Source organism: Homo sapiens, chromosome 18, assembly GCF_000001405.40.
Source record: "Homo sapiens chromosome 18, GRCh38.p14 Primary Assembly".
In the NCBI taxonomy this organism is placed as follows: Eukaryota; Metazoa; Chordata; class Mammalia; order Primates; family Hominidae; genus Homo; species Homo sapiens.
This window is the reverse complement of record NC_000018.10, coordinates 64,411,805-64,424,052: the sequence shown is the minus strand read 5'-3', so window position 1 is coordinate 64,424,052 and position 12,248 is coordinate 64,411,805. Positions and strand designations below refer to the sequence as shown.

Below are 12,248 nucleotides of genomic sequence, written 5' to 3'. Positions count from 1 at the left end.
CCTAACAATAATTATGTGGAAGCTTTAGGTCAGATGACAAGTATCCAAGAGCCATTCAAAACCTCAAATATTCTTGTCTTTTTAAATTATATGTAGTATTTTCTATTTCCATTTCTGCTGTTGTATATTTCCTAGATCCTAAAATATTAGTTTTCTTTGAGGACACTCAATCCAGTTATGCCAAACACAATCATTTATTAAATATTTATTATTTAGTTCCCTGTGAAACAGCCCTGAAAGTTTAGATAGAGGCCAGGAAGGTGTATCCATTTTAGGTTGAGATCCCAGATTCAGGATCCTTTCTTCAGCAATGGAGATGTACTTCAAACATCTATCAATTCACTAACAAATGTTTCAGATTGTCAGTGTCACTCATCCTTCTAGCACCTGGAACAAACAGTGCCAAAGCATCTGATAATAAAAAATGTAGGACTGGAAGAATCATAAAAGGTTTTTTTTTTTCCTTTCTAATTTTAATTAAATTTCTTTCTTTCCAGTAGTCTGACTTATATCAGACACTGAAATTACAAGATCTGGATTTACAGAATGAATAGTCCCTTATGTTCCATGATAAAAAAAAAAAGTACATAAAGTTATATATTCCTGGGCAGTGTGGCTACTCTGAATGACTGGAGCCCAAGCCTTTTGCTGCAATATTATGTTTACAAATGTGGGTGAATGTGCATAAGTAAATGGTTCTGAGGAAAGATCCTATCTGGGTATCTTTGACTTTCTTGTAATCACTTTCACAGCCTTCATGATATGGCGTATACCTAATAATCCAGGCATATAGGGAATGTGTAGAGATGCATGCATAACTAATGGATAAGTGAAGTTCTGAAAATAAATTGTTAAAGCTCATGGTAGGAAATGCAGCCTTGTGGCATGATGATATTTGTGCTGCTTCTCTGATAATTGTGTACAATTCAGAAGAGCACAGTGATTTTGTAATTAACGCTTGATACACATTACCTTTAATTACTTCAGGCATCCTCACTTGAAGGCATCTGTGTGTGTGTGAGTATGCGCATATGTGCTTCTGTGCAGAATGATTTTCAGTCTGTAAAGAGAGTTTTCTTCCTACTGATAAAGTATTTAGCCGATCCAGTTCAAATTCCCAGCTTGAAGTGAGGGTAGCCAGAGTTAGAGAGAAAAGCAAGATACAAGAGAGACAAATTAAACCAAAAGGTATCTCTGGATACTCTTTAAAGAAAAATAGTTTTATCAATAATGGGCAGCAGAACTTACATCATATTGAACTCGTGCTAGAGAAGCATTCTCTTCACAAGAACACATAGAGGAGAACAGCAGACACAGGGGCTACTGGAGAGTGGAGGGTGGGAGGAAGGAGAGGATCAGGAAAAATAAGTAATGGGTACTAGGCTTAACACCTGGGTGACAAAACAATCTATACAACATAACCCCATGACACAACTTTACATATACAACAACCCTACATATGTACCCCTAAACTTAAAAAAAAAAGGAAAAGCATTCTCTTTATTGCTAGACAAATGCTCTGATAAAAGGAATGAAGGTGTTCATACCCAGTAAGTGATCACTCACCTTTACTCCCAGCTCAAAATTTGTTTTCTCCTTGAGCATTTAAGTGGCAGTGTAGATGGTTGGAAATGATTGACTTTCATGGTTTATTTAGTTTATTAATATAGTAATCTATAGCCATCTGGGCTAGATCTAAAGAAAATTATATAGGGGCAATGTTCAATTCCAATGCCTATTAATTCTCCTTCAAATACCCAGCCACATCTTGCCACTGTTTGGCTCTCTAGTTCTTCTCACTCAGCCTTACCTGGGCCTGGAGGATGCACGTGTGCTCGCTCTGATCGAGAGGGCAATCTGGATCCCCGGAAGCCAAGTGCAAATGACCGAAGAGTTATATGCTCTTCCCATGGGGCATATTTTTCATAGCTTTTTTTTTTTTTTTAACTGTTTTTTTCTTTTTTCTCTCTTTTTTAAAATTAAATCAGTTGACAACAACTGATAATTATTGATAAATCACATAAAAATCTGGATTTTTGGCTCAACTGAAAAGTTTAAATGGCTAGCCATGACAGGTTTTCTTTCCCGCAAGGGACCACTCTGTTGGAGAAGCTGCCCCTTTAGAAGGAGGAGGAGGGCTGTGCACTCCAGGGGGTCCTCAATACTAGCTACTACCACCTTCCTACTGAGGCTGAGGCCAGCATCCATTTATTATCAAGCTTCTGCTGTTGCTTTTTATAGACCTGATTCAGTTTATACACTTATATGGCCTGCTGGCCACTGCAGGCATTTGAGTTTTTTTTAACATCTGCTATAGGTATGTTTTTACTTTTCTTGCCAAGTCACTGGCCATATAATCTTTAGATAAAGCCAGTGAGTGTCCAGCATCTTATTCCAGCCACGTCACCTCATAAACCAAATATCTATGACAAAGGTTACAGGTTTCTGGCTTTATCCTTTTTAAATATGCAAATAATATCATTCACACCACCTTCTATGCTTATAGCAATAAATTCAGTCCTAACTGTAAAGTTTCTGGGAGTTCGCAAAGGCCATTTGGGTGCAAGGCTTACTGAGTGAATACTCTCATTTTTCTCTATCAAATTTGCTCAGAAGCTTCACCCCTTCTGATCACCTGGGGCTTGCTTGTCATGAACTTTTTTAGTTACTCCAGCTCCATCTGATACCTGCTTTCTCAATAAATGATCTCAGTCCTTCCTTTATTGCTCTAGGTAGTTGACAGCATGAGGCTAACACTTTGTTATGGTGGTAGACATTTGCTGATTACCTTGGTGATAAATCAGGGAAATTAGAAGGTATAACTTACAACTGGACATCAGGCAGGCTAAGCCAAGTGAATCCTTACTCTTTGGCTCCTTAAGTGTTAACTTGTCAAGTTATATGTACAAATTGTTTGCTATATACGAAGTGTTTGTCAAAGAAAGAGTAAGATATTTATATCAGAGAATCCTAAGGATGGTGTAAAATTGTGAATATATTGTATAAGACCCAGAACTCATATAGAATCCCAGTTGGCATCAGTAATATGGTACTATTATTTTTAAACAAATATGAGGCTTGGCTGCAACAACAGAAGTACTGCTTTGAAAGAAAGTATTGGTCATTGGTCAGACAACTGATAAAGCACTGAGTTCAGTTTGGGTCTCTATAATGGTCAAGCTGAAAAATAATATGTGTACAATCATTTTAAATAATATATAATATATACAAAATCATTATATATGTTATATATAATTATATAATTTAGCTCAACTACATATTATGTTTTTGACTAAATCATGTATATACATACATATGTATGTGTGTGTGTTTTGTGTGTGTATCTATCCAGCTATTTATCTATGATGTAGTTAAATAAACCACAGAGGATAAACCCCATAAGGAACAACTATGTGTTCTTGATTTCCTGGTGTTGCCTACAAATGGCACTAAACTCTGGACAGTGATTCCCGGTGACCAACCCCAGCCCAGGAGTGCATGTGGCTCTCATAGCTCTTTTCAGAGCAACCATTCTCCGCTGTCCAAACAGAGGACCCACTGGGCATTCTACAGCCTCCACCAGCAGGGGAGGGAAGAAATAACTCATGAGTTCCTGAAGCACAGTCTTAAAGCAGTATTGCTGCTGGCTTTTTAGAAATGACCACCTGGGAGTGCAGCGGATCTTCACAGCAGTTCTTTTTTTGAAATGACTTCATATTAACTTTGAATTTGAGGCTAAAATCTTAAACAGCAGCAGCCCCTCTGGATGCAACTATAGCTATAAATATTCTGTTTTCCAGATTGAAGAGTTTTATTTTTGTATGTCCGGATACCAATGCAAGAAGACCAGAGTGACCATCAATTCTAGAGCACGTCTATATATATTAAATTCAGTTGGACTATACTCCCACCTAGCATTTGTTCCTAACTTTGAAAACAACATACCAGCCAGGCACAGTGGTTCAGGCCTGTAATCCCAGCATTCTGAGAGGCCGAGGCAGGTAGATCACTTGAGGTCAGGAGTTCACCAGCCTAGCCAACATAGTGAAACCCCCATCTCTACTAAAAATACAAAAATTAGCCAGGTGTGGGGACGGGTGCCTGTAATCCCAGCTACTTGGGAGGCTGAGGCAGGAGAATCACTTGAACCTGGGAGGCGGAAGTGCAGTGAGCTGAGGAGCTGAGATTGTGCCACTATGCTCCAGCCTGGGTAACAGAGTGAGATGCCATCTCAAAAAACAAACAAAAAACACCTAAATGCCACACACACACACACACACACACACACACACACACATACCAAATCTATGTCCTAATTCTTGGCTCTTAGAAGAAAAATAAGTGTTCCTCTCACCAATATTTCTCAACAATTATAGTGAAATCACATTCATCTGTGAAGAATTCAGAAAATGTTTTAAAATTGTTCAATTACCAATGTTTTGAATGATATAATTTTTAAAAAATGTTAGTCCTGCTAATTTTTATTTTAAGGATCTTCTGAGACACAGAGGGGGTATATATAATCAATGTGCACCCACAAGCCTGCTATCAACATGTAATATATGGTATTTATGAAAATAATCTTTTATATGTGTTGGAGATAAGTGGTTCACCACATTTGCCCCAAGATCTCTTGTCTGTTCTATCCATGTACAAGGCCACCATTGGAAACAGTTAACCATGGTGAAAGACCCTGTGGCAATATCCCCAAGCAGTCTTGCAACATCACCAACAGCTCTAAGGAAAGATTCACACAATTAGAGGTAGGCAAGGACGACACCTGCAATGCGAGATGTTAGTCTCTCTGATATTAGAGACCTGATATGGGTTGGATCTGTGTCCCCACCCCAATCTCATGTTGAAATGTAATCCCCAATGCTGGAAGTGGGGCCTGGTGGGAGATGATTGGATCATGGGCGAGGCTTCTAATGGTTTAGTACCATCTCCCTAGTGCTGTTCTAGTGATAGAGTTCTTACAAGATCTGTTTGTTTAAAAGTATGCAGCATCTGCCTCCTCTTTCTTGGTCCTGCCCCTGTCATGCAAGGTACCTTCTCCCACTTTGCCTTCTGCCATGAGTGAAAGTTACCTGAGGCCCCTCCAGAAGCAGATGCTGCCATGCTCCCTGTACACCCTAAGGAACCGTAAGCCAATTAAACCTCTTTTCATTATAAATTACCCAGTCTCAGGTATTTCTTTGTAGCAATGAGAGAACAGACTAATACAAGACCTTTTACATATTTTGTCGCCTTAATGCCACATCATGAGTGTTTGTCTTCTCCATCTAAGAAACTCTCTTAGAGGTGTAAAGACATTGCCCCTAATTTTAGTGGATTTAGAAGGTTTTCACTACAGGCCCTTACACCACCAGACAGCTACACAAAGAGTGCCTGTATTCCCCATATAATGTATGTGCCAGACGAGATAGGTCAATGTGTGTTGCAAGAAGAGATTCTTCACAGCAGCCTCAGAGGAACTTTCAAGAAAGCCTTTAAAGAACATTGCCCTTGGTCTGATGACCTCAAAGTTGTAGTTAAATAAGTCCTCAGTGACTGGTGCAAAGGCAAAAGCCAGATGCAGTTCTGAGACAAGGAAAAGGCCTAGTAGGAGATGCAACTGTTTAGGCCCAGTTTATTGAGAATTGAAAGTTATTTGGGTACCAACCACATGCCCCACTTTGGAAAGGAGAAGTCTAAAAGGAGTTTCAAGAGCGATGGGAGTCATTACAGCCTTCCTGCAGCAGGTCCAATTTGGAGTGCCTTTCCTTTTCCAAGATCATCTTCCTAAAGAGTGTGGGACTCCATGGTTGCAAAGGCCAACCAGCACAAATGGGTCCCGGGCATGGGAACCAGGCTAAGGTAGCCCAGGAATTCCTGTCATGAGGAATTATTATATCTGGAAAGATTAGCCTATGTATATGTAGCCTATGCATATAGGGAGTTTCAAGAGAGATGGGAGTCATTATAGCCTTCCTGCAGCAGGTCCAACTTGGACTGCCTTTCCTTTTCCAAGATCATCTTCCTAAAAAGTGTGGGACTCCATGTTTGCAAAGGCCAAAAAGCACGATTGGGTCCCAGGCATGGGAACTAGGCTAAGACAGCCCAGGAATCACATCTGCAAGAGAATTTCTCGGGACCCTAACCCAGATTGGGGTTCCCTTTTTCACAAGGGAGGACATTTTCTGATTTAGAGTTCTGTATAGCAGAGCTCTCCCTCCAGACTTCAGTAGAAAAGAGAGATGAAGCTGTTAACTTCTTCATTTTACCTTACCAGGCATGTCCCCACCAAGTTCCCATCACCAAATTTGCTACATTAGTGTTCTATGCACTTGAGCTTCCACAGCTTCAACTACACACAGAACATCTTCAAGTACTTATGTCCTTGAAGACTCATTAACCTCAGATTCTGTAAGGTGAAAAAAGCAGCAGCGGCCTTTACATCATTGCAGATAAATCAAACAAACTGATGTAAATCAGCAGAGCTAGGAAGCAAATATCCAGCTTTTTGGAATTAAAATTGAGAATCTTCCTTGACATATGAGGTTTGATATCTTTCAGCAAAGATGACAGTCCTGAAACTGCCTTTCCAGTGCCAAGTGGAATATAAAAAACAATTCAGGGTATCATTTACATATCACACAGGCACCTCAAGCTGGCAAGCTCCTTGCTTAGTAAAGAAAATACAAATAAAGTGAGGCTTTGGGGATTTGCCCTGGGAATTTAAGTTAGTAGGGTAGGTGCTAGTTGGTGAATTAAGCAGCGTTGGGCATTGAAGGGTTAAGGGAAGAGCAAAGTTTAGAAAAGAATTGTTTTCCTTCTCACTGTTCTCCATTTATCACCTCTCACCATGAGACAAAGCTCTGAGCAACCAGAAGCAATGATTGTGCAAATTATTTTCTTTCAAACATTGAAGTAGTGTTGAGTTGAGGGGAGGAGGTGGTAAGAATGGAAACAAGATCAAAATACACAGATGTGTTTTTGTGATGCAAGGAAAACCAGCTCTTATAACAATTACCTAAAACTTAGTAAGACTTTCCCTATAATAAGGGGCTTTTAACTCTTTTAAATCTCATATATTTCTGGAATTGCTTCTTACTTGATTTATTTTTCTTTCTTACACCCTATTATTTAAGATATTCGCTTGCTTTTTCCTAGTCTACAAAGGCATTCCCTATACTTAACATAGTGACTGACACATAGTAGATACTCAATAAACATTTACTAAATAACATACCAATTAATTAAGTCCACACGCAATAATTTGGATTTCAAAGTGAGCTTTATTATTTGTTAACCAGGAGAAGGAGCAATGAAATTCCAGAAAGAGCTTTCTCATTAGACTCATAAAAGCTTAATTCAAATCCTGGTTTTGTCAATCAATAACTACATGATCTTCACCAAACCATGTCATTTAGGCTTCAAGTTCTTCACTTGTACAAGAAAAAAAGCAAAAGAGAGAGGGAGAGAATTAGTGGGGGAAAGAGGAAGGAAGACAAGAAGGAAGGAAATCTCATAATAATAATGAATATCAATGAGTGCTTAGTATAGATACTGTTTTGAAATATTTACATGCATAAGCTGATTTAATACTCTAAACAGTTATCATTCCCATGAGAAAACTGAGACACAGAAGTTAAGTAATTTTCCTAAGTTCACACAGATGGTAAGTAGTGGAGATGAAATGGAAATCCAGGCAATGTGACTCAAGATACTATTTATCACTCCCCCAAAAAACACACGTGTGCACACACATACACAAACACACACACAAACTGCTTCCTCTCATAAGACTAACACACTACCTCTTAAAGTTGAGGTGGGGATTGAGTGAAATAAGACATCTTACGAAAAGTCCCATCAGTGGTGTTTCATGAAAGTTCTTTTCATGTTCTTTTTATGAAATTGCACAATAAGCTTTTCTGTCCACGTGTGTCTAAGACTAACCTTGTTATTTGCACATCCATGTCCATAGCAGGGTTATCACAGTTGCCAAAAGGAAGAAGCAGTCTACGTGTCCATCGACAGACAAATGAATAGACCAAATGTGGTATATACATACAACGGAGTACTATTCAGCCTGAAGACGGAAAGAAATTCTGACACATGCAGCAACATGGATGAACCCTGAGGACATGACACCAAGGGAAACTAGTCAAAAAGGCAAATACTGTATGATTCCATGCATACGAAGTACTTAGAGTAGACAAATTCATAAAGACAAAAAATAGAGTGGTGCTTGCTAGGGCCTGGTCGGGGGTAGGAAATTGGGAGTTACTGTTTAATGCTTATAGAATATTCATTTTTCAAGATGGAAAAGAGTTCCGGAAATTGGTTACACAACTACGCAAATGTACTTAACAATATTGAGCTGTACACTTAAAAAATTTAAAGATGGTAAATTTTATGTTATGTTATGTAATACCACTACTAACAATCAAATAAAATTTTAATAAGGAAACTTTCACACCAAAGTGTCTTTTTGAACTAGCACATAATATCATAATAGGTGCTCAATAAATATGCCCAGTACTCCCTTTCAAATGTGAGTAGACTCACCTTAAAGTTAGTCCACAGCTAACTGTCCACCAACTTTCATCTATGGACAAATAATAGATTGCCTAAGAGTCCCAATGGACTTAGCTGGCTTTTATTGAACGAGGTCTACTCAGAATTCCACAGAGGGCCCTGGTGGCTGCTTCAAAACCAGTCTTCATTTTGCAATCACCATAAAGCGAACTGACCCTAAATGTGAGAAAACTCAACTGCCTGTTCTCCTTGCACTTTCTCAATCTAAATTACAGATTCCTGAACTTCCATAACCTTCTGAAATTTGAAAATCTCATCAAATTGCTAAAATAGCAGATTCTCTTTCAGCAAAGAGAAAAAAATAAAGGGCTACTAGGAGATAGGAAATAGCGTATAGAGACAACACTTACCAACGATTATATTTCAAAAGCTGAGATTTCTCAAGCACCATGACTAATTTAGATATTCTAATTAAATGTAACTGGGACAAAACAAAGGCTCACCCAAGCAAATTAGGCAAAGTTAGTTTTCAGCAACTTTTACCACCCCTCTCTAAGGAACGAAGGGCCTCCTTCTGATGGATACCTTCATCTTGGTTACTCTGTGGAGTAATCCCCCAGCTCCACTGAGCTCTCCCCAACTCTGGTTAAATCTGTTCTCCATTAAGACTCTGAGAGGATGTTACATTCAATCACACGCTGACACCAATCACTAAGAGACTTAACTGTTACCCCAGGTAGTGAGGATCTCAGCTTTAAAATCAAATAATATTGGGCTTGAAAGGAATCTCAAAATGTCATCTTACTAATCTATCCACCTGATTAAAAGAATTTTCTCTGTAGTTCCACTTCCCACAATCATAATAATGCCCCTACCTAAACCCTTCCAGCTATTGGCTACCCACTGTATTATAAAAACCATTTCCATGTATGATGGCTTTGCTTATTGAAAAGTTAGCCCCAAGGTTTAGCCATATTTATTCAATGTCTTTGTTTCTGTCATTTTAGTTCATCAGTTTCTGAGCTCTTCACATTCTTGTCAGTCTCCTACCAATACAGTAATTACAAATGAAAAATAAAATCCTAGGCCCCACAGCTGACTGACCAGATCTACTCCCAGCCAAGGGGACCCCCGAAAAACCTAAACAACTTAATTCTCAGCCATGACAGACAGGCAGGTCAGACACGCCTCACTATACTCTGTCTTTTGGAGTTTGAGCATAACTGACCAGCATTAATATTAAAACAGAGATTTTAAGACTCACAAAATAGACTCTTTGTGGCAGTCTTGATACTCCTACTAATAAATGTAAACACTGATGTTGAACACGCCTTAATGATCTGGGATACTTCTGGAAACTAAACTTATGTTCTAGTTTATGTCCATAAAATGATAGGTTATAAAAAAAAAAAGACTGATCAAAAAAATGCCTGAGGATTTTAGGGGCTCGATATGAGATACAAAATTGTAATCAAGACCCAAGACTATGCAAGGCAAGGGTTGAGCCAAACACTACAAACCATAAAAGCTTGTTAAACAAGGTTTTTAATATTACATGGTTTACTTTCCAACCTTACTCTGGCACAGCATCACATGACAGATAGCAGATCCTGAAGGAAAATCGGAATATTTTACCCCAAATTGTATTTCTTCAACACATTCTGAAAAGGCCCTGCAAAGTCATTTTTATGGCGGAAATTTGCATCTGAAAACTCTCTCCATTAATGTAGAAGGCCAAGCCTTCCCTTTCTAGGCCTTTCCCAGACCTAGGAGAAATGAACTGAGAATCTGACATCTTTTCTTTTTTTTTTTTCTGACGCAGAGCCTTGCTCTGTCGCCAGGCTGGTGTGCGGTGGCGGGATCTCGTCTCACTGCAAGCTCCGCCTCTCGGGTTCAAGCGATTCTCCTGCCCCAGTCTCTCCAGCAGCTGGGATTACAGGTGCGTGCCCAGCTAATTTTTGCATTTTTAGTAGAGACTGAGGGGTTTCACGATGTTGGCCAGGATGGTCTCCATCTCTTGACCTCGTGATCCGCCCGCCTCGGCCTCCCAAAGTGCTAGGATTACAGGCGTGAGCCACCGCGCCCGGCTGAGAATCTGGCATCTTTAAAGAGGTATTTTACCATCTATTCTGTCTGAGGGCTGCCACCTCTGAGGCTTCATCTGCATAGCGAGTCTTTTTCTCCATAACCCCCTTATCTTGATCCTTGCTACTGACTTTTAAGTCTTTAGTCAAAGCTTAACGCTTCCAAACTACTGCCAGTCAGAAAATCTTTGAATCCACCTATGATCTATAAGCTTCCTCTTCAAGATATACCGCCTCTTTAGACTGGACCAATGTATACCTTCTACGGATTGATTTGTAATTTTACCCACCGTTTTTGTCTTGCTAAAATGTATAAAACCAAACTCTAACCAGAACTCCTTAGGGACACTCCCTCAGGACTGTTCCAGACTATCTTTGCTGGGCCGTGGTCACTCATATTGGCTCAGAATAAACCTCTTTAAAATGTTTTACAGAATTTGTTTTTTTTTCCATTAACATAATTATTATTATGCATATACCAGGAACTAAGGTAGGGGCTTTAAATTAATTATTATAGCAGTCCTCACCACAGCTCTATAATACTTTCTAATGATAAAAAGTAGTCCGTCACTAAAAAGATGGTTATTTCTAATGACAAAGGAAAACAGGCATACAGAGTTAACCAAATTGTCCAAAGTCATGTGTTCTTTAATTGACAGAATCATAATCTACTCTAAATCCTACCTTTTACATTAAGATAAATTACTTCTTACTCATTCTGATAGGAAAATGCTATCATGTATTTCTATTTTCTGTATTTCTTATTTGATACACTTAACATGTATATTATGAAATATATTTATATGTATATAATTTATTTCAACATATATAAATTTATATACATATATAAATTTATCCGTTTATATTTATACATATTTATATGTATCTTTTATAATATACAAAACAATATTTATATTTATAAAATATACATACACAAATATATTAAAATATACTTGTGTACATTTATATTATATATAAACAAATGCATAAGAATGTCATAAAATATATTTGATATTATATTATTTAATATTTAATAAAGCTCATTTTGAAAATGGCTTTTACCTATATCTCAACTCTGCTATCAGGAATCAAGTAAGTTTGCAGTCCATAAATGGGATGGGCACAGAATAATCTTGCAGGCCTAGAATAGAATTAGCAGCAGGAATCAAAGAGCAAAATGCCAATAGAGAGTTGAAACAGAAAAACAAACGTCATAACCTAAATTTCTTGTGACTGAGTTCTTTCTCAGCCATGTGAAATGAATATGCAATTCCATTCTTAATACCCCTACTAATAAATGTAAGCATTGATGTTGAACACGCCTTAATGATCTGGGATACTTCTGGAAACTAAACTTATGTTCTAGTTTATGTCCATAAAATTATAGTAAAAAAAAAAAAAAGACTCTAATCAAAAAATGCCTGAGGACTTTAGGGGCTTGATATGAGTAGTTGGTGACCCAGAAACCTCCAAGGTGACACCTAATTACAGATACATATTAATACCGGTAGCATTACACAGTGGCTTTTACTAATAAACTCTAACAAATCAGAGAACGGGTTATTTGTAGGGGTGTAGAGCAGAAATAGATCTGGGGTTTTTTCTGACAGAGATTTAAGAGAATCTAATTATGAATCAGAA

The 12,248-nt window shown here is 38.2% G+C and overlaps 1 long non-coding RNA gene across 1 annotated transcript in view, besides 1 other annotated feature; it reads right to left on the bottom strand.

Moving 5' to 3' along the window:
* Nucleotides 1–451: 451 nt before the first annotated feature.
* LINC01924 (long intergenic non-protein coding RNA 1924) overlaps nucleotides 452–12,248 on the bottom strand; it is a 319,511-nt gene continuing 307,714 nt past the window's right edge. Inside the window, exons 7-10 of the long non-coding RNA NR_033881.1 lie at nucleotides 11,670–11,748; nucleotides 7,942–8,121; nucleotides 1,249–1,323; nucleotides 452–1,121 (exon numbers count right to left, since the gene is read on the bottom strand). This is a non-coding gene — a long non-coding RNA (long intergenic non-protein coding RNA 1924). The remainder of the gene's footprint in view (nucleotides 1,122–1,248; nucleotides 1,324–7,941; nucleotides 8,122–11,669; nucleotides 11,749–12,248) is intronic.
* Nucleotides 6,617–7,184: an enhancer, noted in NCBI's record as "OCT4-NANOG hESC enhancer chr18:62084104-62084671 (GRCh37/hg19 assembly coordinates)". NCBI's record gives its function as "activates a minimal SCP1, AML or CMV promoter by ChIP-STARR-seq in naive H9 embryonic stem cells {active_cell/tissue: H9 hESC(naive)}" and the evidence as "EXISTENCE:reporter gene assay evidence [ECO:0000049][PMID:30033119]".